The sequence below is a fragment of the Homo sapiens genome, chromosome 11 (genome assembly GCF_000001405.40).
Source record: "Homo sapiens chromosome 11, GRCh38.p14 Primary Assembly".
NCBI classification, from domain to species: Eukaryota; Metazoa; Chordata; class Mammalia; order Primates; family Hominidae; genus Homo; species Homo sapiens.
In genome coordinates, this window is record NC_000011.10 from 37935550 (window position 1) to 37962026 (window position 26477).

Sequence of the window (26477 nt, forward strand, 5' to 3'; positions counted from 1 at the left end):
CAGAAATAAACTTTGTGCCTATCTCAGTACATTCAAGGAGAGGATCCACTGGCTCTCCAGGTTCACATAAAGGAGATAGACATAGTCAGGGATACAGGAAAATGTTGCCAGCTTATTTTAGTCTTGTGAGTGATGTAAATAAAACCAACAAAATATGATCATAAGATCTTTCTTTTATATACAAAATTTTTTCTTTATATATACAATGTAATTTATATCCAATAGTAATTTCTTTCAAATCTGTTGAATCATTTAGGTAGTATATAATGCTTGCTCCTCTTGAAAATTCCACTATATTTTATCAGTGTATAAATTGTCTTTCTAGTATACATATCAGAATGTTTTACTTTTGTTATTTTGAGTGTCGCATGTCTGTTCTACTGAGTCCCTCATAACTAATAAATATTGTTTTATTTCTCTCTGTTACAATATTCTGAAACTTTCTCTTACTTTTATGTCATACAATCGATATTAGTACAGCATAGTGGCATCATTTTAACTTTTCTGTCATAAGTGTATTGCATAAGCCTGAAGAGACTGAATAATATTCATTCTCATTAACCCAATGTAATGAAATTATTCTCTTTTCACCTATGAAAATGACAAATATCTTAATTAAATCAAAGACTCATTGTTGGTGAGGATGCAGTGAAATGGGCACTCATAAGCTTTTAGTGGCAGTGCAGCTTGATAGACTTTCTCTAGAAATGAGTTTGGCTGCAGGTATAATAGATTTTAAATAGAGCTTCAGCCATTTTATTTTATTTTATTTTATTTTATTTTACTTTAAGTTCCAGGATACAAGTACAGAATGTGTAGACTTGTTACATAGGTCTACGTATGCCATAGTTGTTTTTGCTGCATCTATCAACACATCATCTAGGTTTTAAGCCCCATATGCATTAACTATTTGTCCTAGTGCTCTCCCTCCCCTCCACCCCTCCGAGCCCAGGAATGGCCCTGGTGTGTGTTGTCCACCTCCTTGTGTCCATGTGTTCTCATTGTTCAACTCACACTTATATGTAAGAACATGTGGTGCTTGGTTTTCTGTTCATGTGTTAGTTTGCTGAGGATGATGGCTTCCAGTTTCATCCATGTCCCTTCAAAGGATATGTTCTCATTCATTTTTATGGCTGCATAGTATTGCATGGTATATATGTACCACATTTTCTTTATCCAGTCTATCATTGATGGGTATTGGGGTTGGTTCCATGCCTTTGCTATTGTAAATAGTGCTGCAATAAACATACGTGTGCATGTGTCTTTATAGTAGAATTATTTGTTTTCCTTTCGGTATATACCCAGTAATGGGATTGCTGGGTCAAATGGTATTTCTGGTTCTAGATCCTTGAGGAATCACCACACTGACTTCCACAATGGTTGAACTAATTTACATTCCCACCAACAGTGTAAAAGCATTCCTAGTTCTCCACAGCCTCGCCAGCATCTATTGTTTCCTGACATTTTAATAATCACCATTTTGACGTTGTGAGATGGTATCTCATTGCAGTTTTGATTTGCATTTTCTTTTTTTAAATTTTTTTTATTATATTTTAAGTTCTGGAATACGTGTGCAGAACGTGCAGGTTTGTTATATAGATATACACGTGCCATGGTGGTTTGCTGCACCCATCAAGCCGTCATCTACATTAGGTATTTCTCCTAATGCTATCCCTCCCCTAGCCCCTCACCCACACAACAGGCCCCAGTGTGTGATGTTTCCCTCCCTGGGTCCATGTGTTCTCATTGTTCAACTCCCACTTATGAGTGAGAACATGTGGTTTTCTGTTCTTGTATTAGTTTGCTGAGAATGATGGTTTCCAGCTTCGTTTTTAACCCCGTAATTTTTCTTCTAGGATAAAGCGTTACATTTTTTCCATTAACTTAAATGTAAATTCTATAATCAGAGAGACAGATGAGATAGCTATAGTTATGAATATATATATGAGTATATATAAGCACATATATGAGTGTATATACACTTACATAAGGAAGTATAAGTATATATGAATATATATATTAAGTATAAGTATATTTATAAATATGCTGAGTGTAAGTATATACACACTCAGTATATATATATAAATATATATACTTATACTTATGTAAGTACATATACATTCATGTATATGCTGTTATAGTAATACAATTTATATGATTATGTTATAATATATAATACTGTATAACATATAGCATGTATAAGTATGTATATAGTATATATATAGTAACATATATATTATATATAGTTGCATATATACTATACATATATATACCTATATATAAATAAATATAGATATAGGTACAATATACATATAGGTATAGTATGAGATATATCAAACACAACAATCTGCAAGTAACTTTTCTGGGTGCCTAAGGGTCTTCATTTGTGCAAAATTGGTCTAAAATCCAAGGACACAATAAAACTATAAAATATATCTAAACTGGTAAATATCATACCATGATGTATTATCCAAAATAAATAGCAAGATGAAAGAGAAGCAATTAGCATAGAAATAGAAGACAATGAAGACAATCTTACCTTGGAGTTTACTTTTCTACTTGCAAGTAAATAAGCAACAGAGAATATAAAAGTTACTTACATAATTTTTTTAAAAAATATATTCTACTGAACTTTTCTTTTTCTTTTTTTGCATTGGAGGGCATACTTAATTCAGCCCAGAGATTTCCAAATAAATAAATGATTCTCAGTGACTAGGATACTCACATCAAGTTACTTACATGAGGTTCTATAGCTAATAAATAGAAGAGCCAGACTTAGAATGTAAGTCTCCAGATTCTATACCTGGTGGAATTTTTTTTAAGTTTAAATATTTTTTCCTGGTAGGCATGTCTTTGCACATTTCTTTACATTTTGTACATTGTAAGTGAAATTCTATTTCCCGTTGTTTAACTATTGTGTTCATTTTGGACATTTATATACAATTATTCAGTAATATAGCATTGTACTATAGATCATGTTATAGTTTTTATGTCTTTAACAACAGCCTTCAAGGCTAAAAATCTAATAATTTTGTATAATTACTTCACTCCAGGACATCTCCCCAAGAATTATCTTAGTGACTGATGAATCAGAGGGATACCTAAATACAAAAACTGAGTGAAAACACCAAAGGATGAGCCAAGTTTGCCAATGGTAACATAAGCATTTAATGGATGGCCTAATAAGAATTTTGTCCAGGTACCTGTGGGGAAGATTTGATACCAGAGTTATAAACTGGTGATTGATGGCAGAAATGACAAGTGATTTCAAATGTCCTTTCTGTAACAGTAGAGTAACTTTTCTTTATGTAAGCAATATGTAGCTCCTCGGTAATGTCAAATACAAGAATAGTAATTATTGTAAATTTCACTAAATTTGTCAATAATATTCAAGGTTTAATTAGCAAATATTAATTGTATATGTAGAGGTTGATATTTTTAAATCCTTGACTTTAAATACTTAAACTCTCATATGGAAAAAAAATTTTACACACGGGAAAATGGAGAAAAATTAATAGCCTACTTTCAATTTCATGGGCATTTTTATTTCATGATGAAAATCTTATAAAGTATAGAATTTGAAGTGCAAACTATCTCAAAAATTTGAGATTATTGTGCTATGGTTTTGCCTTTGATGTGTTATAAAATGCAAATTATTTATCTTAGGTATATGATTCTAATATCTTTATTTCATTTTTTTTTTTTTTTCACAAAATCAGCTCTGTTGATTCTACTTTTGGCTTTATATAAGCAATATCTACTGAGAACAATTGAATAGCACTTATAGGTAATAGTTTCATTGTGTATTATTTTAACACATTTAAAAAATAATGTGACTTGAAAAATATACTGAGTATGCTGTATGCACTATATATAATTTACCATTAAAACATTACAATTACATAGGAAAATAGTCCCTCAAATATCTACATTGATGTTTTTATCGTGATCTAGTTAATTGTATCTGTTATCAATTGCATACTTCCAAATTGTGTGTGAGTTCAAAGCTCTTTACTATGTTATTTATTTCAATCCACTTATTTAAAAATAGATATTGACTCATGTCCACAGTATTTGCAATAGAACCATAAATAAAAACTTAAGATTATATTGTCTCCTAGTTTTATAAGTTTCACAAGCATACGACCTTAGGAAACAATAAGAAATCCACACTGTTTTTAGGAGAAAAAGAGGTAAAAATAGACCTTGTTTTATAAAAAACAAAATGGGAGAAGACAGTCTAGAGGTCTTCTCAGATCAACAACCCTGATTTTTAGACTCTCAAAAGAGGCAAGATATCAGAGTTGTATTTAGATATTATTTATAAGAAGAAAGATACAAGAATTGAAAATAGATCATCAAATCCAATACAAGATATTTTAAACAAACTATTAACAAAATTTTAGAAATGAAGGCTCTAGAGATATCTAAATTTTTATTATGTGTAGAAGAACAACCAAAGTCGCCCCAAAAGTTGCTTTTCTATTTCACTATAGAAATAGCCAGGTATATTAGAAATGGCTTAAGTTTGCTGTAAAAGAGGATTTGTAAAAGAAAATGTATCAGGAGTAAAATATGCAAATAAACTGGAAACATTATCATGCTAAGAAATAGATTCTTATTTAGCCTTGCTGCCTCTGGAGGAGCTGTATGATTATATGTTACATGATAAGTTAGTTTAAAATAATAACAGGCAATTAAAAAAACTTTTAATATTTTTGGAGCTATTCAATCACCAACATTTATTTGTGGATTCTCCTGTGAAGACAGACTTGCCCTTTTTAGTGCTCTGTGGGAAGAAACCGAAAAGAAAAAAAAGACAAAGTAGCTCTCAGTCTACAGGAACTGCAGTCTAACTGGATAACAAATCTATGCATTGAAATGCATTCAGTGCCCTTACAAATAAGGACAAAGGCTGAAGCAAATTAAGACAATGGGGATGGAATAAGAAAATGCTTATTAGGGCCGGGCGCGGTGGCTCACGCCTGTAATCCCAGCACTTTGGGAGGCCGAGACGGGCGGATCACGAGGTCAGGAGATCGAGACCATCCTGGCTAACACGGTGAAACCCCGTCTCTACTAAAAATACAAAAATTAGCCGGGCATGGTGGCGCGTGCCTGTAGTCCCAGCTACACGGAAGGCTGAGGCAGGAGAATGGCGTGAACCCGGGAGGCGGAGCTTGCAGTGAGTCGAGATCGCGCCACTGCACTCCAGCCTGGGCGACAGAGCAAAACTCCGTCTCAAAAAAAAAAAAAAAAAAAAAAAAAGAAAAGAAAATGCTTATTAGAAACAGACCAACTGTTGAGTAAGAACAGGTTAGTTTGGGTGAGATTAAGGACAAGATTAATGATAAATTTAGCTATCAAACTCATTTGCTTCTTTCTGTATTTTTGACCTAGACTCATTAAACAATAAAATAATGAATTGCTTTTTATTTCAATACATAGCTCATAGAAAACTTTAGATTCTAGCTGATTCAGTTACATTATTGAATATCAATTCTTATAAAAATGAATAGATGATGACAAGGTTTCTTTAAAGGGTGTTTATTTATTTATTCTGTTATAGATTCAGGGGGTACAAGTGTAGATTTGTTACATGGATATAATGCATAATGGTGAAGTTTGGGCTTCTGCTGTACTGATCACTCAAATAGCGAACATTGGACCAAATAGGTAATTTGTCATCCCTCACTCCCTTCCTTTCCTTTCACCTTTTAGATTCTCAAATGTCTTTTATTCTACTCTGTATGTCCATATTTACCTATTATTTATCTCACACTTAGAAGTGAGAACATGCAGTGTTTGACTTTCTGTTTCTGAGTTATTTCACTTAGTATAATGGAACTGAAGGCAGTTCCATCCATGTTGCTGCAAAAGACACATTTTATTCTTTTTTATGGCAGATTACTAGTCCATTTTATATATACACACACACACACACACACACACACACACCACTTTTTTTCCTATTATCCTTTGATAAACATCTGAGTGCAGGTGTCTTTTATATAGTGATTTCTTTTCCTTTGGATATATGTAAGCAGTAGTGAGATTACTGGGTCAAATGACAGTTCCACTTTTAGCTCTTTGAGAAATTTCCATATTGTCTTTCCATAGAGGTTGTACCAATTTAGATTCCCACCAAAAGTGTACAGGTGTTCTATAGCCTCCTCATCCTTGCCAATATCTGTTTTTGTTTTTTGGGGGGTTTTTTGTTTGTTTTTTACTTTTTAATAGTAGCCATTCTAACTTGTATAAGGTGGTGTCTAATTGTGTTTTTAATTTGTATTATTCAGATGATTAGTGATGTTGAGCATTTTTTCATGTTTGTGGGCCACTTATTTGTCTTTTGAGAATTTCTGTTCATGTTCTTTTTCCACTTTTTAATGAGATTATTTATTTTTCTCATTGGGTTGTTTGAGTTTCTTGTACATTCTGGATGTTAGTCTTGTGTTAGATGTGTAGCTTGCAAATATTTTCTCCCATTATGTAGGCGTTTGGGTTTATTCTCTTGATTATTTCTTTTGCTGGGGAGAAACTTCTTTTTAATTAAGTCCCATTTGTCTACATTTCTTCTTGTTGCATTTGCTTTTGAGGTCTTAGTCATTAATTATTTACTTAGGCCGAGTTCCAGAAGAGTATTTCCTAGATTTTCTTCGAGAATTTTTATAGCTTGAGGTCTTATATTTAAGTGTTTAACACACATTGAGTAAACTTTTTACATGGTGAGAGATAGGAGTCCAGTTTCATTCTTTCACATATTGTAATTGAATTTTCCCAGCACCATTTATTAAATGGAATGTCTTTTCCCCCATTGTTTATTTTTGCCAACTTGGTTAAAGATCTGTTGCTTGTAAGTATGTGACTTTCTTTATGGGTTCTCTATTCCATTTCATTGGTCATTGTGTCTATTTTTATACCAGTCCCATGCTGTTTTGGTTATATAGAATTGTATTACAATTTGAAGTCAGGTAATAAGATGCCTCCAGTTTTGTTCTCTTTGCTTAGGATTGTTTTGGCTGTTTGGGCTTCTTTTCGAGTGCACACAAATTTTAGAACTGATTTTTTTTTCATTCCAAGAAAATTGCATTGGCAATTTGATAGGAATTATGTTGAATATAAATTGCTTCAGGCTATATGGTCATTTTAATGATATTGTTTCTTTCAATCTCTAAGCATTGAATGTTTTCCATTTGTTTGTGTCATTTATGAATCCTTTCATCAATGTTTTGTAGCTCTCCTTGTAGAGATCTTTTACCTCCTTGTTTAAATGTATTCCTGAGTATTTTATTATCTGGGGGGCTATTGTAAATGGGATTGAGCTCTTGATTTGGTTCTTAGCTTGAATGTTATTCGTGTATAGAAATGCTATTGATTTTTTACATCAATTTTGTGTTCTGAATATTTACTGAAGTAATTATCAAGTCTAACAGTCTTTGGAAGGGATCTTCAGGGTTTTCTGGGCAAAAGAACATGTCATCTGTGAACAGAGATAATTTAACTTTGTCTTCACAATTTGGATGCTTTTTATTTCTTTCTCTTGCTTGATTGCCCTGGCTACAGCATCCAATACTGTGGTGAATAGAAATCATGAGAGTGACCATACTTGTCTTGTTCCAATACTTAACAGAAATGCTTTCAACTTTCTCTATTCAGTAGGATTTTTTACTGTGAGTTTGTCATAGACAGCTTTTATTATTTTGACATATGTTTCTCTGATGCTTAGTTTGTAGAGAGTTTTTATCTTAAAGAAATACTGAATTTATTGAATGATTTTTTAATCTATTGAGATGATCATATAGTTTTCATGTTTAGTATTTTTAGGTGATGAATCATATTTATTCATTTGCATATGTTGAACCATCCTTGCATCCCTTGAATAAAACCCACTTGATTATAATGTATTAGCTCATTGATGTGCTATTGAATTTAATTGGCTATTACTTTGTTGAAGAATGTTATATCTATGTTCGTCAGGGATATTACCCTGAAGTTTTTTATCTTCTTATTTTGTCTTTACCATTATCAGGGTGATACTGGTTTCATAGAATAAGTTAGAGAGGAATCCCACTTCCTCAATTTTTTAGAATAGTCAGTAAGATTGGTAACCCTTCTTTATATGTCTGGTAAAACTGAGCTGTGAATTTGTCCGGTCCTTGTTTTTTTTTTTTTTTCCTTAGGGGATTTTTAATTACTGATTAAATTTTATTACTTGTTATTGGTTTGTTCAAGATTTCCACTTCTTCCTCGCTCAATTTTGGGAAGTTGTGTTTCCAGCACTTTATCCATTCCTCACAGTTTTCTAGGTTGTGCACATAGAGATGTTCATGGTAGTTTCTGAGGGTCTATTTTTGTTTATATGGTACCAATTGCAATGTAACCTTTATTGTTTCTGATTATGCTTATTTGAAGCTTCTATTTTTTTGCTTGTTTAAACTTCCTAGTGACTATCAACTTTGTTTATCCTTTCAAACAACCAACTTTTCTTTTCATTGATCCTTTTTATCACTTTTTGCCCCAATCTTATTGAGCTTTGCTCTGACCTTTGTTATTTCTTTTCTTCTGTTAGCTTTCGGTTCAGTTTAGTCTTATGTTTTTAGTTCCTTGAGTTGTGATGTTAGGTTGTTAATTTAATACATTTCTATCTTTCTGATATAGACATTTAAGGCTATAAACTTTTCTCTTGGCACTGTTTTTTTCTGTATCCCAGGAGTTTTGGTATGTTGTGTCTCTGTTTTCATTTATTTAAAATAAATTAAATTTCTACCTTAATTTCATTGTTTACCCAAAGATCATTCAGGAGCTAGTTGTTTAGTTTCCATGTACTTCTGTCATTCTGAGAGTTCTTCTTAGTAGTAACTTCTAATTTTATTCCAGTGTGGAACAAGAAGATACTTGATATGATTCTGATTTTTTACATTTATTGAGACATGCTGTATGACCAACCATATGGTCAATTTTGGAGAATGTTCCATGTGCGGATTAAAAAAACAACAACAACACTTATATTCTGCAGTTGTTGGGTTAAATGTTCTGTAAATATCTATTAAGTCCATTTAGCTAGAGTCTACTTTAAGTCCAAATTTTCTTTGTTGATTTTCTGCCTCAATGATCTATCCAGTGTTGTCAATGAGGTGATGACCTCCCTCAACATTATTGCATTGCTGTCTCTCTGGTTTCTTAGGTCTAATAGTATTTGTTTTATGTCTTGGTGTTTTGGTGTTAGGTGCATATATACTTAGGATAGTTAAAAGTTTTTGTTGAAGTGAACTCTTTATAATTGTATAATGTAGTTGTCTTTTTTTATAACTGCTGTTGATTTAAATTCTGTTTTATATGATATAACGATGGCTACTCCTGCTTATTTTTATTTTCCTTTTGAGTCATAAAGCTTTTTCTACCCCTTTACTGTGAGTCTATAGTTGTTGTTACCCATTAGATGAGTAGCTTGTAGGTAGCAGGTGGTTGTGTTTTATTTATTTTTTTAACCTAATTTGTCAGTCTATTTTGTACATGAAGCATTTAGGCCATTTGCATTTAAGGTTAATATTGATACATCAACTTCCGTTCCTGTCATAGTGTTCTTAGCTAGTTTCCTTACAGTCTCAATTGTTTAATTGCTTCATAGAATCATATATATTTACATATGCTTTCATGATGATGAATATCATTTTTTCATTTCTATGTTTAAAAGTCCTTTGAGCATTTCTTGTAGGACCAGTCTAGTGGTAATAAATTCTCTTAGAATTTGCTTGTCTGGGAAATAATTTGTTTTCCTTTATTTATAAAGCTTAGTTTTGCAGGTTACAAAACTCTTAGCTGGCAATTATTTTCTTAAGAATACTAAAAGTAGGATCCTAGTAACTTTGACCTTTAAGGTTTCTTCTGAGAGGTCCACCGTCTGATGATATTTTCTTCATGGGTGATTTGATGCTTCCCTCTAGCTGCTTTTAGGTTTTGTTTTTTTTATTTTCTTTTCTTACACTTTGACCTTGAATAGTTTGATGGCTATATTCTCTGGTGATATTCATCTAGTATAGCACCTTCAAGGTGTTCTTCAAATTTCTTGTATCCAGATGTTTATATCTCCAGTAAAATCAGGGACATTTCCTGAATTATTATTTCAAATATGTTTTTCAAGCTTTTAAAATTTTTTCCTCCTTCAGGAATGCTGATAAGTCATAAATTTGATTGCTTTACATAATCTCATGTTCCTCAAAATCTTTGTCCATTTTAAAATTTCTTTTTTCTTTTTTTTGTCTGACTGGGTTAATTCAAAAGACCATTCTTCAAGCTCTGAAATGCTCTCTTTTGTTTCATCTAGGCTATTTTTAAAGCTTTCAACTGTATTTTGAAATTCCTTCAGTAAATTTTTCATTTCCAGAAGTTCTGTTTTTTATTTTAAGATCTCTGTCTTTTCTTAATTTTCTCAGTTACTTTTCTGATTTCCTTATGTTGGTTTTGAACCTTCTCTTGGATCTCATTAAGTTTCCTTACAATATATACTTTGAATTCTTTATCATTTAAGAATCTTCATTTTGGTTAAAGTCTATTGCTAGACAGCTACTGTAATCTTTCAGTAATACCTCACTACATTCAGTGTTCTTATCCTGGTTTCTTCTCATCTGGAGGAACGGCCACTTCTTGTTTTTGAATTCACTGTCATTTGGATAGAAATTCCCCCCACGCCCCCGGAGGGTGTGACTGTGGAGCACATTGGGTAGGGTCTTTCAGCTTTGCTTCTATAGCCCTGTGAACATTATGTTGGCAGATTATATATATTGGGTTGTGCAGTTCAACATTCAGGCCAGTAGGTGGTGCTTATGGGTAAAAGCCAGCTCTGGCAAAGGCAGATAAGTATGTACTTTTGTTTACTGTGAAGTGTTCTCTGTTGTTTCAAGTGATGGGCTAGATAACAAAATGCCTGGCACTCTGAGTTTTCTGTTCAGCTAGGAAAGGTGGGAGACCGGGGCAGAGGTGGACCACCTGGCTCACCCATGAATACACCAGTGATGAGCACAGTAACCATCTCTGATAGGGATGGCTGGGGGAGCTCCTGGTAAAATATACCAAAGTCTTTGTGGGAGGTAAGAGAGGCAGCTGCATCAGCTCCACATCCCAGAAAGGCAGGAATGCACTCTGTTTTCCTATCACATCTGTGTCCCATGGCTTGTGACTCTCAGTTCAGACATACAATGTTGTCTGTCACCAGGTCACAGTGTAGTTGAGAGACATGGAAACCATCTGTTCTGTGGTTCTCCATGGGAATGGCTTCAGTGTGGAACCTCTTTACCAAGCCCAATATGGACAGCTTTATAACTTGCCTGTTCTGATGCTGCTGCTTCATGTACAGAGGGGCAGGGGCTCCATCCTTCAGTATATGTGTGGGTGTCAGATGTGGTGTTGGCTGATTGTGTTGGCTTGACCTCAGATCCCAGGGGAGGAGACAAGGTGCCAGTTGTGGTGGACTGGGCTAGGCAATCCCCTACTCCACAGGCCCCTAGGTAGCCCACTGGTTGTTGTGTACAAGTCTTGTTGAAACTGGACTGAGACCAGGACAGCAGACTTATTCTCAGGTCCCTCAAATTCAGGTGCTAACTGCAATAGGGAGGGGTGGGCTAGTCCCCTGGTCACCAGCAGAACTCCAAGGTAAGGGCAGGTAGAATGCTCTTGTAGTGTCAGGATGCTCAAGATGTGGGAGCCCCAGGGTACATTGCAGGCCTGTAGGGGCTGGGTTGTCAGGAAGGCTCTGAGTCGCAACCAAAATGATCAGGTAGGAACCTTTCACTGGGGAAGTCAGGGCCTACTTGGTGGGAGCAGTGGCAGTGGAGGCAGACACCTATGGGGCTCATGGCCCACTAGTGCTTTTCTCCCACAGGAGCAGTGGCAGTATCCTTTATCTGGGGACACAGAGGTGCCCAATCTTTCACTCCCTTCCTGTTCTGGAAGTGACTATGGCAGCATTGATGTGGCTGGATCCCAGCATAGAATGCAGGCCTCCAGAGGCTAGGCTTTCAACACGGGGCCAGGCCTTTACCACAGTGATCAGGCAAGGGCAGAGAAGCTACTCTGCAGGTATGTTACTGGGGAGAGTAGGCCCTCTTCAGCAGGAGCAATGGAAGCTAGCAGCTATGGGGCATGCAGCTCACTTGCACTTTTGTGCCACAGAAGTGATGGTGGATTTTGCTGTTGGGGTGTGTCAAGGTGCCCAGTTTCTCTACTCCATCCCTGGCCTGGCAGTGGCAAGGGTGACAGTAATGGTGGAAGCAATAAATGCTGTGGTACCTGAAGGGTAGATCATGATCCTCTAGGGGCTGGGCTCTCAGAAGAATGCTGAGCCACAGCCACAATGCTCAGATGGTAGCACAGCAGCTGCGCTGAGGATTTGATAACAGGGAAGGCAGCCCCCACTTAGCAGGGAGCAGCAGAAGCAGGCAGTCATGGGGTGCACAGTCTTCACACTCTTTCGTCCCACAGCAGTGACAGAAGTGACTGGCTTTGGGGTGTGCAAAAATGCCTGACCTCTCTGCTCCCTCCCTGGCACAACAGTGGCAGCTGGCACCTACTTGCAGCTGCTTAGGGATCAAAAGCCTGCGTGACTCCATGTGGGTTTGAGTAGTTCCTTTGCAAAGTCTCCAAGCAGCTCTCTGTGTTATTCTGAATGGTGAAGGTAAGGGTCGAGACGGCTCCCCTATGGCTAAGATTGTAAAAGTCCATGATGGAAGGGTGAGACCCTGTGGGTCTCTCACTCACTCATTCCTTCACTGTGACAGGGAGGCTCTCCTGGCTCCACGCTAGACCCAGCTCAGCAGGCTGCCTTACTTCACTCTTCTCTGCTTTCCCTGATTCCTGTCACTTCTCTGATGAATTCCAAAGTGCTCTTTTCAATGGTCTACTCAAATGTTAATATTTACTTGCTATTTTGATTGTTCTTCATGAGAGAAGTGCCCACTAACTGCTTCTAGTCAGCCGTTTGAACCACACCTCATGAATTGCGTAATACCTTTAGAGTATACATAATCTAGTCCAAACTTAGAAGTGTAAGTACACTTTTTTTTTCTTTCTTTCTTTCTTTTTTTTTTTTTGAGATGGAATCTACTAGCTCTTGTCACCCAGGCTGGAGTGCAATGGCGCCATTTCGGTTCACTGCAACCTCCTTCTCCCGGGTTCAAGCAATTGTCCTGCCTCAGCCTGCTGAGTTGCTGGGATTACAGGTGCAAGCCACCACGCCCAGCTAATTTTTTGTATTTTTAGTAGAGATGGGGTTTCACCATGTTGGCCAGGCTGGTCTCAAACTCTTGACCTCAGGTGATCCACCCACCTCGGCCTCCCAAAGTGCTAGGATTACAGGCGTGAGCCACAGCGCCCAGCCTAAGTACTTATACCAAGTCATTGCACACCTTAACTGCTCTCTTGAGTCCTGGTGACAGCCAACATTTGCAATTTCCTGAGAATAAGTCAATTCTTATAATTATATGACTTCAGTCATGCCATTGCTGTTCTATGAAATGTTCTCCAGAATTTGAAGCAAGAAAAAATTGAGCAGACTCTAGTACTGATTCTGGTTAAAGAGAATCAGAGGCCTCAACTACATAAGAAATGACAGGAATAGACAGAACTACATAAGAAATAACAGGAATGGACAGCAGATATAAGGAAGGAAACAAAGGGAAAATAAAGAGTCTTGGAAATTAATTGTGTAAGAGCAATAAAAATGACTTGAATGACTAGGTTAGTGATTTTACCATTAAAAGAGATTAGAAGCATAAGAAATATGATACATTTCAGAAATAATAATGAGATAAGTTCTGCCCATCTTTCTTGAAATGTGTATGGTAAACTCATATGGAGGCATGCAGTGGGTGGCAGAATATACAAATATGACACAAAGCAAATAAAGTCAAATTTAAAATCTAGACTTGTGAGACATTTTTATAACGATACTAACCAAGACTTTTTAAGTGAATCAAGTCACTTTTCACACTTTATATTTGTACATGTTCATATTTATGCCTACCTCATTAGTTTATGAGCTACCTAAGGATGAGAATAACTCACGTTAATATTTGATTTTTTTCATATTTGCATGATGCCTGGCTCATGGCAGACTTTTAAATTATATGGCCTGAAAGTTACCTTTCTAGAATTTATTTAAGATAATATCAGGTTAGATTCAATGATAAGCATGGGCCATATAGAATGTGTCAGGTGCCTTATCAAAAGATAAAAGTACATTTCTCTCATATATTATCAGAATTTCTATAAAAATGAATAATGTGGGCATCTTTGTGTAATACACTCACTCATTCTTTCTTTATCAGTTTAACCACTTTGAATAAATACTTGCAAGGCACTGTGTCAGGAAAAAAACTTTAAATTAAACAATTTAAAACTACCCAAGTGTATGGGAGGTCCCAGTATTTATAAAATTTCAGATGATGGCCAAAAGTACCTAAATAATCTATTTTCCAGTAATCTTTTTGCTACTTATAAGATAGAAACAATATTTTAATCATTTCACATTATACCTTCCATTCTTCATCTCCCCTACATAGCTTTTATAAGTGTTCAAAATTTGAAAAAATGGACGAATACACTCATTTAAAGAATGGTGGCCTGAAAATTAGAAAATCTTCCCTAACAAGCAAAGAAATATTACATGGCTCTTTTAGCCTATGGGTCCCTGAATTTCTTCTCTGTGAAATGAATGTGGATTAGCAAATCCCAATTACTTTCAGATCTAAAATACCTAGATTTTGCTTTTTGTATGAAAGTTGAATTTCACTACTTAAAAACTAAAAATGCAAAGGAGGTCGGGGGCGGTGCCTCATGCCTGTAATCTCAGCATTTTGGGAGGCTGAGGTGGGTGGATCACTCGAGGTCAGGAGTTTGAGACCAGCCTGGCCAACATGGTGAAACCCCTTCTCTACTAAAAATACAAAAATTAGCCAGGTGTGATGGCACGCATTTGTAGTCCTAGTCCCAGCTACTTGGGAGGCTGAGGCAGGAGAATCACTTGAACCCAGGAGGCAGAGGTTGCAGTGAGGTGAGATAACCCCACTGCACCCCAACCTAGGCCACAGAGTGAGACACGATCACAAAATAAATAAATGAATACATAAACAAATAAATAAGAAAATGAAATATTTGCTCTAATGTTTGGTTTTCTTCTTTTCTTTTCCACCTAGATAGAGATGATATCCTACTCATATTTGCTCTGAAGCAACTAATACAATGCTTCATACATGGTAGGTACAGAATGTATATTTGATAAATAAATAATTTTTGCAAATAAAAAGTAAATTAATTCAGAACACAAAATGTATACTGTGAGTTCAACTTTATAGGTACATTGCATGGCATTTCTTGAACATTTATTTACTGAGGACATATTTTATTGTGGGCATTGTTTTCTACACTGAGGATGTAATACAGAAATGATCAACACAAAATTCTTGCTTACATAAATTTATACTGTATTGGAAGGGAGAGAAAAACATCAAAGAGGCAAAAAAAATAAATGAAAAGAAAATTTGAGACAATGACAAATAATGAGAGAAATTCAACAAAGTATTTAAAGAGTGCCCTTAAACTCACTTCTTGTCTATTACATCCAATTACACCCATCGTTTCCATGCCTTGGCTCATTTGATATTTAGAAAAATTGGTTGATGACCTTTTTTTTACCTTCTTAGTAGTAAAAAAATTACAAATAGAAAATGATAAAGTTTGGCTCTGTGTCCCAACCCAAATCTCACTTTGAATTTTAATAACCCCTGTGTGTTATGGGGGCGACCCTGTGGGAGGTAATTGAATCATGGGGGGGCAGGTTTTTCTCATGCTGTTCTCATGATAGTGAATGAGTCTCACAAGATCTAATAGTTTTATAAAGGGCAGTTCCCCTACACATGCTGTCTTGCCTGCTGCCATGTAAGACGTCCCTTTGCTCTTCCTTAGTCTCTGCCATGATTGTGAAGCTTCTCCAGCCATGTGAAACTATGAGTCCATTAAACCTCTTTTGCTTTATAAATTACCCAATCTCAAGTATGTCTTTATTAGCAGCATGAGAACAGACTAATACAGTAAGTAACTTTGTAATCCTGTATAAAGAATATACTAAATTCTAAATTACAAGAGCAAAACTTGAGTTTTAGTATTGCAAAGTCATGCAGTCTACCCACCAAAATATTATCCAAAGGTTAATAAAGAAAACTAGATGCAATAATCAAGTAGGTAATGGAATGTCATTAGCCAAGTGGAAACCCCTGGGGGAAATGAACATTGTCCTTATTGTGTTATCATTATTGATATAGGGATCTTTTCCCCTGATATATAAATTTTCTGGAAGATACTTCTGCCCATGGTCCTTGGGAATATTTCCATTTTCCCATATTTATAAGGTTGCGTCAACATTCTTCATGTTTCTCCTCTACTTGTAAATCTATCATTATACCCCTCACCCTGCAAAAGCCTATTTCACTTGATTTGGGTTTCATTAGTCAGCAATAGAGCAAAGGGTGAAAATTAGGTCTTGTAAGATCCAGCTGTCAGAAAAATCAGCCAGCTGTGATTCATTAATAGAAGAGAATACATCTGATTGTGCAGTGCAAAACCCAGTTGCTGTTGTTTAATACGATTCTGTCAGCAAAACCTTCTCAGCTGACAATATTTTTGGAACAGCCATCTGTTTTCGAGGATTACAAATACTTTATCAAAATATTTATGACATGTTTTCTCTGAAAGATGATATCTTATCCCTTTCAATAGATTAATGCCTTGAGGGTAACTGCAAAGCTAAGTAGAGAGGAAAAACTTAACTTTAATATTTATCTTAGTCAAAAGCAAATCCATGCCCATTTCTTTCTACTGTCATAAGGTTATTAAATTAATATCAACTGAAGTTGGTTTTACTTTTATTCACAGATTTAAAGCCAGGTTGAATTAAGAGATAGCTTATATATAAAATTCTAATTTGAAGTTCAATTACTTCCTTCCTTTATCAACTGTATGTGCTTATAAAAAATATCTAAAGTAATGAGCATAATTCTAAATGGAAACTTGGAAATTAGAAGATATGTTTTTAAATTTTCTGGATAATTATTAGTATCCTTATAAATTGAATGATTTTTTGTTTTTTATAGAAAGTTATATAAAATACATTAATCTTTTTAAAAAAGTTTCTAATATAGTTTAGGAAAAAGCTGCCTTGATCTAAAATTTTATTTCATTTTGGTTTGTTTTGGACTTGAAAAACTATTTTTTAATAATTATTTTGGTAATTATAATAAAAAATGAACAGTACACTGTAGATTTTCTCATCATCTTAGGAAAAGTGAACTTCTAAATATACTAATACATTTCAATGTGCTTTGTCTCAATAAATAGCTTTTTTCAGAACTTGGGTGGAGGTTTTAATATTTCATTTATGTATAGCATATATGTAGAAAAAAAAATCTGAATTTCTTTGGGTTGATTTTTCCCTAATATATATTATTTTATTTTGAGAACAGAACACAGAATAAGAAGCAATGCCATTCATTGTGAGTCAGATTTGGCTTTAAATAATTAAGTGATTTATTATTTAGATCCTTGTAGTTTTTATTCATTCATTTATTTATTTGTTTATTTGTTCATTATTTTCCCCATACTTTAGCCCTGAAAAATGTAATGATTTTTCTACTTCTATAAAATCACTTTGAGGATCAAAGTAATTAGTCTTTTTTTTATTGTAAAATGGAGTATCACTTAAGCCTACGTGTCATGAATAAACATATTGAGAGTTATCCTGCGGCCAACATTATATAAAAATTTGCAATTTGCTAAGAAAATGCTGTATTCTGCAAGAAATCAATATTATTGAGTTTAGGTAGCTTACAGTCTAGTGATAAAGGCTGGCATGGATAATTAGAGATAGCATAAATTGAGTTTTGGATTAGGATATACCTGGTTTGAAAGCCAGCCCTTCTATGTATTGTATCGTGGTTTGAAATTATGTTCCTAAATCTTCTGAAATTTAGTACTACCTATGGATAACTAGCATCAAATTAGCATCAACTGTAAAGTGTTAATGCTAGGATTCAATGAGAAAATGGAGATCACCTGTGTATAAAGAAACCCATACAGTAATTGTCACCTAGAAATCCAATCAACGTGACTTCCTCATCCTCACAGAGCAAGTCAAATGTGCTAAGTGTTACCAAGGAGTTGCAGACAAAGAGATATTGAAGCATAGAGTGAGAAGAGGTTAATTAAATTATAGAAATATAGAAAATTATAATTTGAACTAAATTAACATTAAATGCACATATAATGCTGAAAACACGAGCAGAGGTGGATTTATATGCAATTCTTCTCCAATTTTGTTTGACCTCAATAAAAGTCTGATTCCATTCTGTTGTATTCAAAAGTGCTACTACTATATGCTTAAGAGTATCCCACTTTTAGAGAAAAAAGAGGGCCTACTAAGAAAATGGAATTTAAACCCAGTAGGAATGAATGCAATTGAGTTGAAATGATAATTGAGCTGAGTATTATTCCATGTGATTGAAGTTGAATTCACTATAATGTACTGTGAGCTGTGCTTTCCTGGGACATTACAATGGCTGGCTAATTTAGTCCAAAAAAAGAAAAAGAAAAAGAAAGAGAAATTAAATTGGTGTTTTTTCATCTAAAATAAGCAAGAATTTTGAGAAATGTGTTTATAAAATGAATATGGTGTAATATATATGCAGGAAAAGAGAAAGAAAAGGCCTTTGTCAGCTGATAATTAAAACACAAACAAAAACATAAGCTTAATATAAGTTCAAGTGTATAATATATAAAAATGTACTCTAAATAATCAGATTATTACCATCAAGGCATATGTTTATTGATTCTCTTTCTTCATTCCCTCTTCAAGGTTCCCTCTTGTGATGTTCATCTTAAGCTGACTTTTTCCAGATACGAATGTTGTGGGTGGCAGCAGAAAAACCCAGCACCTGGGCTCACATAGTGCTTATGCCCAGTCTCAATCTTGATGCACATGCACCCCGTGTATACTTCCCCTGTCTGTCTAATATCACTGAGTTTCCTTATAACTTCAGTTCTTAAAAGCTTCATCACCATAACATCAGGAGACATTTGCTTTAGTGTCAATTCTTGGTTGTGCCATATATAGTCACTGGAAACACAAGTGATCACACAGAAAAAAAAAGATTTCTAAATTAATAAATGAGAAAAGATAATCAGTAGCTTAGCATCAGTCAAAGTCGCTTTGTGAATGTCATGCATTCCTTATGAAATTTGTGACAGACACATTAGGGTTGTTGGGATTAGACAAGGAAACCTATTTCTTAGCTATTAGGAGAAGCTGATTTAAGTTTTCTTCTACTGATCTTCAGCAATTCCTGAAAGGTACAGGTACAAGTAAGAATCTGAGATTCTATGAATATCATAGGGGAGAGATTATTAACATTTCTGGGAAATGATGACATTGTATTTCTTAATATAATTTTTTTTTTTTTGAGATGGAGTCTCCTCTGTCGCCCAGGCTGGAGTGCAGTGGCACGATCTCGGCTCACTGCAAGCTCCGCCTCCTGGGTTCACGCCATTCTCCTGCCTCAGCCTCCCAAGTAGCTGGGATTACAGGCACCCACCACCACACCCGGCTAATTTTTTGTATTTTTAGTAGAGACGGGATTTCACTGTGTTAGCCAGGATGGTCTCGATCTCCTGACCTCATGATCCGCCTGCCTCGGCCCCCCAAAGTGCTGGGATTACAGGCGTGAGCCACTGTGCCCGGCCATAACATTTATTTTTTATACCCATTAAATTAATACTGTAGATAACGTAAAACTATAAAACATTTTAAAAAGTTGCCCATCAATTCAACACTTAAAAGAAAAAAAAAAAACTAGTAATATTCCCTTTCAGTTTTTTTCCATGCACACACTCACACACAAACACATGCATCTAATCAAGCACATACGTCTAGGTACACATTTATTTCTACACCCATACAAACATTATTTATACTAGATAGGTCATTCAGTATCTACAAATTTGTATCTTTTCATTCAGTGTATTATGACCTTTTTTAAATAAATGTGAAAATAATAATTTCAATTAGTTAATCTGACAACTAATTTTTTAGTGATTATGTGCCAGGTAATTTTGTAGATGGATGAATTTTATCAGTGAAACTTGGATGGAACTAGAGGCCATTATTCCAAGTGAAGCAACTCAAGAATGGAAAACCAGATGCCATATTTTCTCACAAATAGGAGCTCAGCTATGAGGATATAAACACACATAAAGTGTTATAATAGATTTTGGGGACTCGGTGGAGGTGGGGAATTTGGGGCGGTTGATGGAAAAAATACTACCTATTGGGTAGCGTACACTGCTTGGGAGATGGGTGCACTAAAATCTCAGAATTCACCACTAAACGACTTACCCATGTAACTAAAAACCACCCATACCCCAAAAACTACTGAAAATTTTAAAAATTTTAAAAATCATGACAACACTACTCACAAAAGAAGAGGATAAAGATCCTTGCTCTCATAGAGCTTGTTTTTTTGGAGGCAGAAGATAGGCAATAAATACTTTTAAAAAGTAAAGAATTCAATTACATAGTATAGTAAAAAGATGATGAGTGCCATGGATTATATTAAGGAAAAAATATGATATAAATAATTAGTGAATAGGATAGAGAGGTTGTATTTTTTTTATTTTATTTATTTATTTATTTATTTATTTATTTATTTATTTATTTATGACAGAGTCTTGCTGTGTCGCCTAGGCTGGAGTGCAGTGGTACGATCCCAGCTCACTGCAACGTCCGTCTCCTGTGTTCAAGTGAGAGGTTGTATTTTAAGCAGCCTTGCAGGGCTGTCCTCATTGAGAAGGTGAGATTTGACAGATTTGATGGAGGTAAAAAAGTTAGTGCTGAGGATATCAGAGAAAGGTGAAAGAAAATTTCAGGCAGAGAGAAAAACCAGTGCCTGAACCCTAAGCCTGGTGTGTTCTAGGAGAGAAATGGAGGCCCTGATGACTGGAGAGAAAGAGAAAAGAGTAGAATCTGGGAATGTCAGGTAGGATGCCCTGTATTATCTCATCAAGACTCGGCTGTTAAGTAAATTGCAGTGGCTCATCCCTTTGCTCCCAGCATTTTGGGAGGCCAAGGAGAGCGGATCACTTGAGGTCAGGAGTTTGAGACCAGCCTGGGCAACATGGCAAAACTCCATCTCTACAGAAAATACAAAAAATTAATCGGGTGTGGTGGTGCATGCCTGTGATCCCAGCTACGCCAGAGGTGGAGGTGGAAGGATCTCTTGAGCCTGGGTGGTCCAGGCTGCAGTGAGCAGAGATCCCATGCCACTGCACTTCAGCCAGCGTGACAGAGTGAGACACTTGTCTCAAAAAAAAAAAAAAAAAAATTCAGTGCAGGGCTTTCTATGTGGGTGACCAATGTAGTCATAAAAGGACACCCAGCATTTAGGATGTAATGCTCTATGGTTACATTTTATCTTTGAATTGTGTTTTGAAAGTGATGTCCAATGGGACAATGGCAGATGCTCCAGGGTACTGGCGTCAGGAGTTTTAGCTCACTCATAATCCCATCTCCTATCTCCTTTCTACGTCTTCAGGATGGTAGAAGCCCTTCCCACTCCAGGCCTTGCTCAATCTTACTTTCTTTTTTGAGATGGAGTCTCACAGTGTCCCCCAGGATGGAGTGCAATGGGGCGATCTTGGCTCACTGCAAGCTCCACTTCCCGGGTTCACGCCATTCTCCTGCCTCAGCCTTCCAAGTAGCTGGGACTACAGGCGCCCGCCGCCACCACGCCCAGCTAATTTTTTTGTTCGGCAGGCAGATCACGAGGTCAGGAATCTAGACCATCCTGGCTAACACAGTGAAACCCTGTCTCTACTAAAAATACTCAATCTTACTTTCTAGCCCCTATCACTCCAGACCTTACTCAATCTCTCCAACTGGAGACTGATGCTAACTTTTGCTGGAGTAGCAACCTGGTAATATGGGGATTCCAGCACTCTTCTGTCTTCCTATGGCCCCAGTGGGGTGAGGCAAACACCCCACACTGTCTCAAGGCTGCAACTTTCCCTCTCTGGGCTGACAGCACTAGGTGGCAGGTGACTAGATGAGGACCTCTAACTCTACTTTCTACTACTTCCAGGTACATAGAATGTCCAGATAAAGTGATTGAAATTTCTCTGGCATTGTATTTTAGTCCATTTTCACACTGCTGATAAAGACCTACCCTAGACTGGAAAATTCATACAGGAAAAAGGGTCTAATGGACTTAAGTTCCACATGGCTGGAGAGGCCTCACAATCATGGTGGAAGGCAAAAAGGAGCAAGTCATGTCTTACATGGATGGCAGCAGGCAAAGAGAGAGAAAGTTTTTCCAGGTGAACTCCTTTATTTAAAACCATCAGACCTCATGGGACTTATTCAGTATTTCGAAAACAGCATGAGAAAGACCCACCCTCATGATCCATTTACTCCCACTGGGTACCTCCCACAACACATGGGAATTGTGAGAATTAAAATTCAAGATGAGATTTGGGTGGAGACACAGACAAACCATATCATTCCACCCCTGGCTCCTCCCAAATCTCATGTCCTCACATTTCAAGACCAATCATGCCTTCCCAACAGTTCCCCAAAGTCTTAACTCATTTCAACATTAACTCAAAAGTCCACCGTCCAAAGTCTCATCTGAGACAAGGCAAGTCCCTTCTACCTATAAGCCTGTAAAATCAAAATCAGGTTAGTTATTTCCTAGATACAATGGGGATACAGGCATTGGGTAAATACAGCCATTCCAAATGAGATAAATTGGCCAAAACACAGGGGCTATAGGCCCCATGCAAGTGCAAAATCCAGCAGAGCAGTCAAATACTAAAGCTCCAGAATCATGTCCTTTGACTCCATGTCTCACTTCTAGCTCACCTGATGCAAAAGGTGGGTCCCCATGGCCTTGGGCAGCTCTGTCCCTGTGGCTTTGCAGTGTAGAGCCCCCCTCCTGTCTGCTTTCATGGGCCAGCATTCCATGTGTATGGCTTTTCAGACACATGGTGCAAGCTGTCAGTGGATCTACCATTCTGGGGTCTGGAAAATGGTGGCCCTCTTCTCACAGCTCCACTAGGTGGTACTCCAGTAGGGACTCTGTGTGGGGGTTCCAACCCCACATTTCCTTTCTGCACTGCCCTAGCAGAGGTTCTTTGTGAGGGCCCTGCCCCTGCAGCAAACTTCTGCCTGGGCAACTAGGTGTTTTCATACATCGTCTGAAATCTAGGTGGAGGTGCCCAAACCTCAATTATTGACTTCTGTGCACCTGTTAGGTTAAAACCACTTGAAAGCCGCCAAGACTTTGGGCTTGTACCCTCTGAAGCCCAGCCTGAGCTATACCTTTACTCTTTTAGTTAGGGCTGGAGCAGCTAGAACACAGGGCACCAAGTCCCTAGGCTGCACACAGCATGGGGACCCTGGGCCTAGCCCTTGAAGCCATTTTTCTTCCTAGACCTCTGGACCTGTGATGGGAGGGGCTGCTGTGAAGACCTCTGACATGACCTGGAGACATTTTCCCCATTGTCTTGGAGATTAACATTCAGCTCCTTGTTACTTACACAAATTTCTGCATCCAACTTGAATTTCTTCTCAGAAATGGGATTTTCATCTCTATTGCATTGTCAGGCTGCACATTTTCTAAACTTTTGTACTCTGTTTTCCTTTTAAAACTGAATGCCTTTAGCAGCACCCAAGTCACTTCTTGAATGCTTTGCTGGTTAGAAATTTATTTCTCCAGATACCCTAAATCATCTCTCTCAAGTTCAAAATTCCACAAATCTCTTGGGCAGGGCCAAAATGCTGCCAGTCTCTTTACCAAAACATAACAAGAGTCACCTTTGCACCAGTTCCCAACAAGTTCCTCATTTCCATCTGAGACCCTCTCAGCCTGGATGTTATTGTCTATATCACTATCAGCATTTTGGTCAAAGCCATTCAAAAGTCTCTAGGAAGTTCTAAATTTTCCCACATTTTCCTGTCTTCTTCTTAGCCCTCCAAACTATTCCAACCCCTGCCTATTACCCAGTTCCAAAGTCACTTTCATATTTTTGCATATCTACAGCAGCACCCACTCTTGGTACCAATTTACTGTATCAGTCTGTTTTCATGCTGTTGATAAAGACATACCCAAGACTCGGTAATTTATACAGGGGAAAGGGTTTGATGGACTTATAGTTCCACGTGGCTGGGGGGGCCTCACAATCATGGCAGAAAGCAAGGGGAGCAAGTCATGTCTTACATGGATGGCAGCAGGCAAAAAAAGAGTTGGTGCATGGGAACTCCCCTTTAAAACCATCAGATCTCATGAGACTTATTCACTATTGGGAGAACAGCATGAGAAAGACCCACCCCCATGATTCAATTACCTCCTGCTGGGTCCTTCCCACAATAAGTGGGAATTGTGGGAGTTACAATCAAGATGAGATTTGGGTGGAGACACAGCCAAATCATATCAGGTTGCCTGTCTGTTGGGAGTTAGGATGGAGGACCTGTCAGGAGGGGAGATTAAGTTCTCTGCCCACAGTGGAGGACCAGTATTTTTATCTTATGCCAACCACCTCAAATTATAGAGCTAGACTTGGGAGAAGAATATTGAACAGAAGAATAAAATTATGATCCTCAACATTTTAAATAGTTACTTTTTAATATGTTGATAATAAGCTATACAAAGACTGGTAGATGCTAGGAAGGAGAGGCTACCATATTATCCCAGTGGGAGATGAGAGTGTCTCAGGTTAAGCTGGTGCCAGTATAGATGGTGAGGAATGGTACAAACCTACATTTACTGGAAAAGAGATAAAATATGATCACCTGGTACATAGGACATGGAATATAAATGACACGAGTGTCAACAATAGTTCAGGTTTTTGGCCTGAGCTACTGAAATAATTGAGTTACTATAAGCTGATATGGAGAAGGCTGAGGGCAGATCAGGTTTGGGAGTGGAGAGATGAGGAGTTCAATCTTTTTCATGTTTACCATGTTATTATGTGGACAATCAAATTATAGGGTAAATAGTTATATAAACAGGCATGTAGCTAGCTCTGAAGAGGTAGTCTAGGTTGAAGTTGTCAATTTGTAGTTTCAATTTATACAGCTTTAATGCCATGTGTATTAGTCCATTTTCATGCTGCTTATAAATACATACCCAAGATTGGGTAATTTATAAAGGAAAAGAGGTTTAACGGACTCACATTTCCATGTGGCTGGGGAAGCCTCACAATCATGGTGGAAGGTGAAAGCCATGTTTTATATGGTGGCAGCAAGAGAGAATGAGAAAGGGGAAACACCTTATTAAAAACATCAGATCTCATGAAAATTATTCATAACCGTGAGAAAAGTATGAGGGAAATTCCCCCATGATTCAATTATCTCCCAGTAGGTCCATCCCATAACATGTGGGAATTATGGGAGCTACAATTCAAGATGAGATTTGGGTGGGGACACAGCCAAACTATATCACCTTGGTACCCAAGTGAAGTCATTGAAGTGGGGGTGTAGGAAGAGAAGAGAAAAGAACCAAGGACTTATCTCCTTGCTTCCATATTAGGAGTAAACAAGTAGAAGAGTCTAATCTAGCAGTGAACCATTTACATAGACCTTAAGACTGAAAAGGAGTAGCCCATGAAGTAAAAGGAATTCAACAAATGTGCTGTTAATGGAGCCAATGAAAGAAAGTTTAATAAGATGCATAAACTGTGCCAAAAGTTACCAAAAAGTCAAATAAAATAAGAACTAGACAATGACTGTAAAATGGCACTGCCTGGCTAAAACTTTTATAAGTAATCTATTTCCCAGTTACTGGTCTTTTAATTTTTGAAAAAAATTTCCTATTGAAAACAAGGCTGCAGCAATTATATATAGAAGCAATAGCTCTATATTTTTTCCTAATTGGAGCTATTTGTGCATTGCATAATTGATTATAAAAATTGAAAGATAGAAATATTTTACCGCAGAAATATTTATATATACGTGTTCAACAAGCTTTTCAAAAGACAAATATAGCAGAATATAGCAGAAACCCTGACTATTTGTACAGGTAGTCTACATGCATAAATACATATATTTAGTATCGTATGATCTGCAAGATTTTCCCAATATATCTGAAAAGTCAATGTGGACTCAGTCAATTTAACATTTTTTTTTAATGGAAATTGACAAGCGGATCTAAAAGTCAGTTTGGGGTAAATATTACATCTGAGATTATTCAAAACATTTTGAAAAAAAGCATCTTTTGGGGGAAAATATGTAAAGGTACTAGGGGGTTAATAATTAAAAGAATGTCATATTGTTATATAAATGGAAAACGGTAGAAATGGTATTGCAACTATCACTAAGCATTTGAAGAGTGGGAGGAGAAGATATAGCTACCTCTCATTATGCACACATACAGGTGCACATA

General features: G+C 36.6%; 1 long non-coding RNA gene across 1 annotated transcript; it reads left to right on the top strand.

The window, feature by feature from the left end:
• The first annotated feature begins 3051 nt into the window (after positions 1-3051).
• LINC02760 (long intergenic non-protein coding RNA 2760) lies at positions 3052-19114 on the top strand. The gene is made up of 3 exons (NR_135110.1): positions 3052-3154; positions 15192-15251; positions 18902-19114. It is a non-coding gene; the product is annotated as a long intergenic non-protein coding RNA 2760 (long non-coding RNA).
• Positions 19115-26477: the final 7363 nt, after the last annotated feature.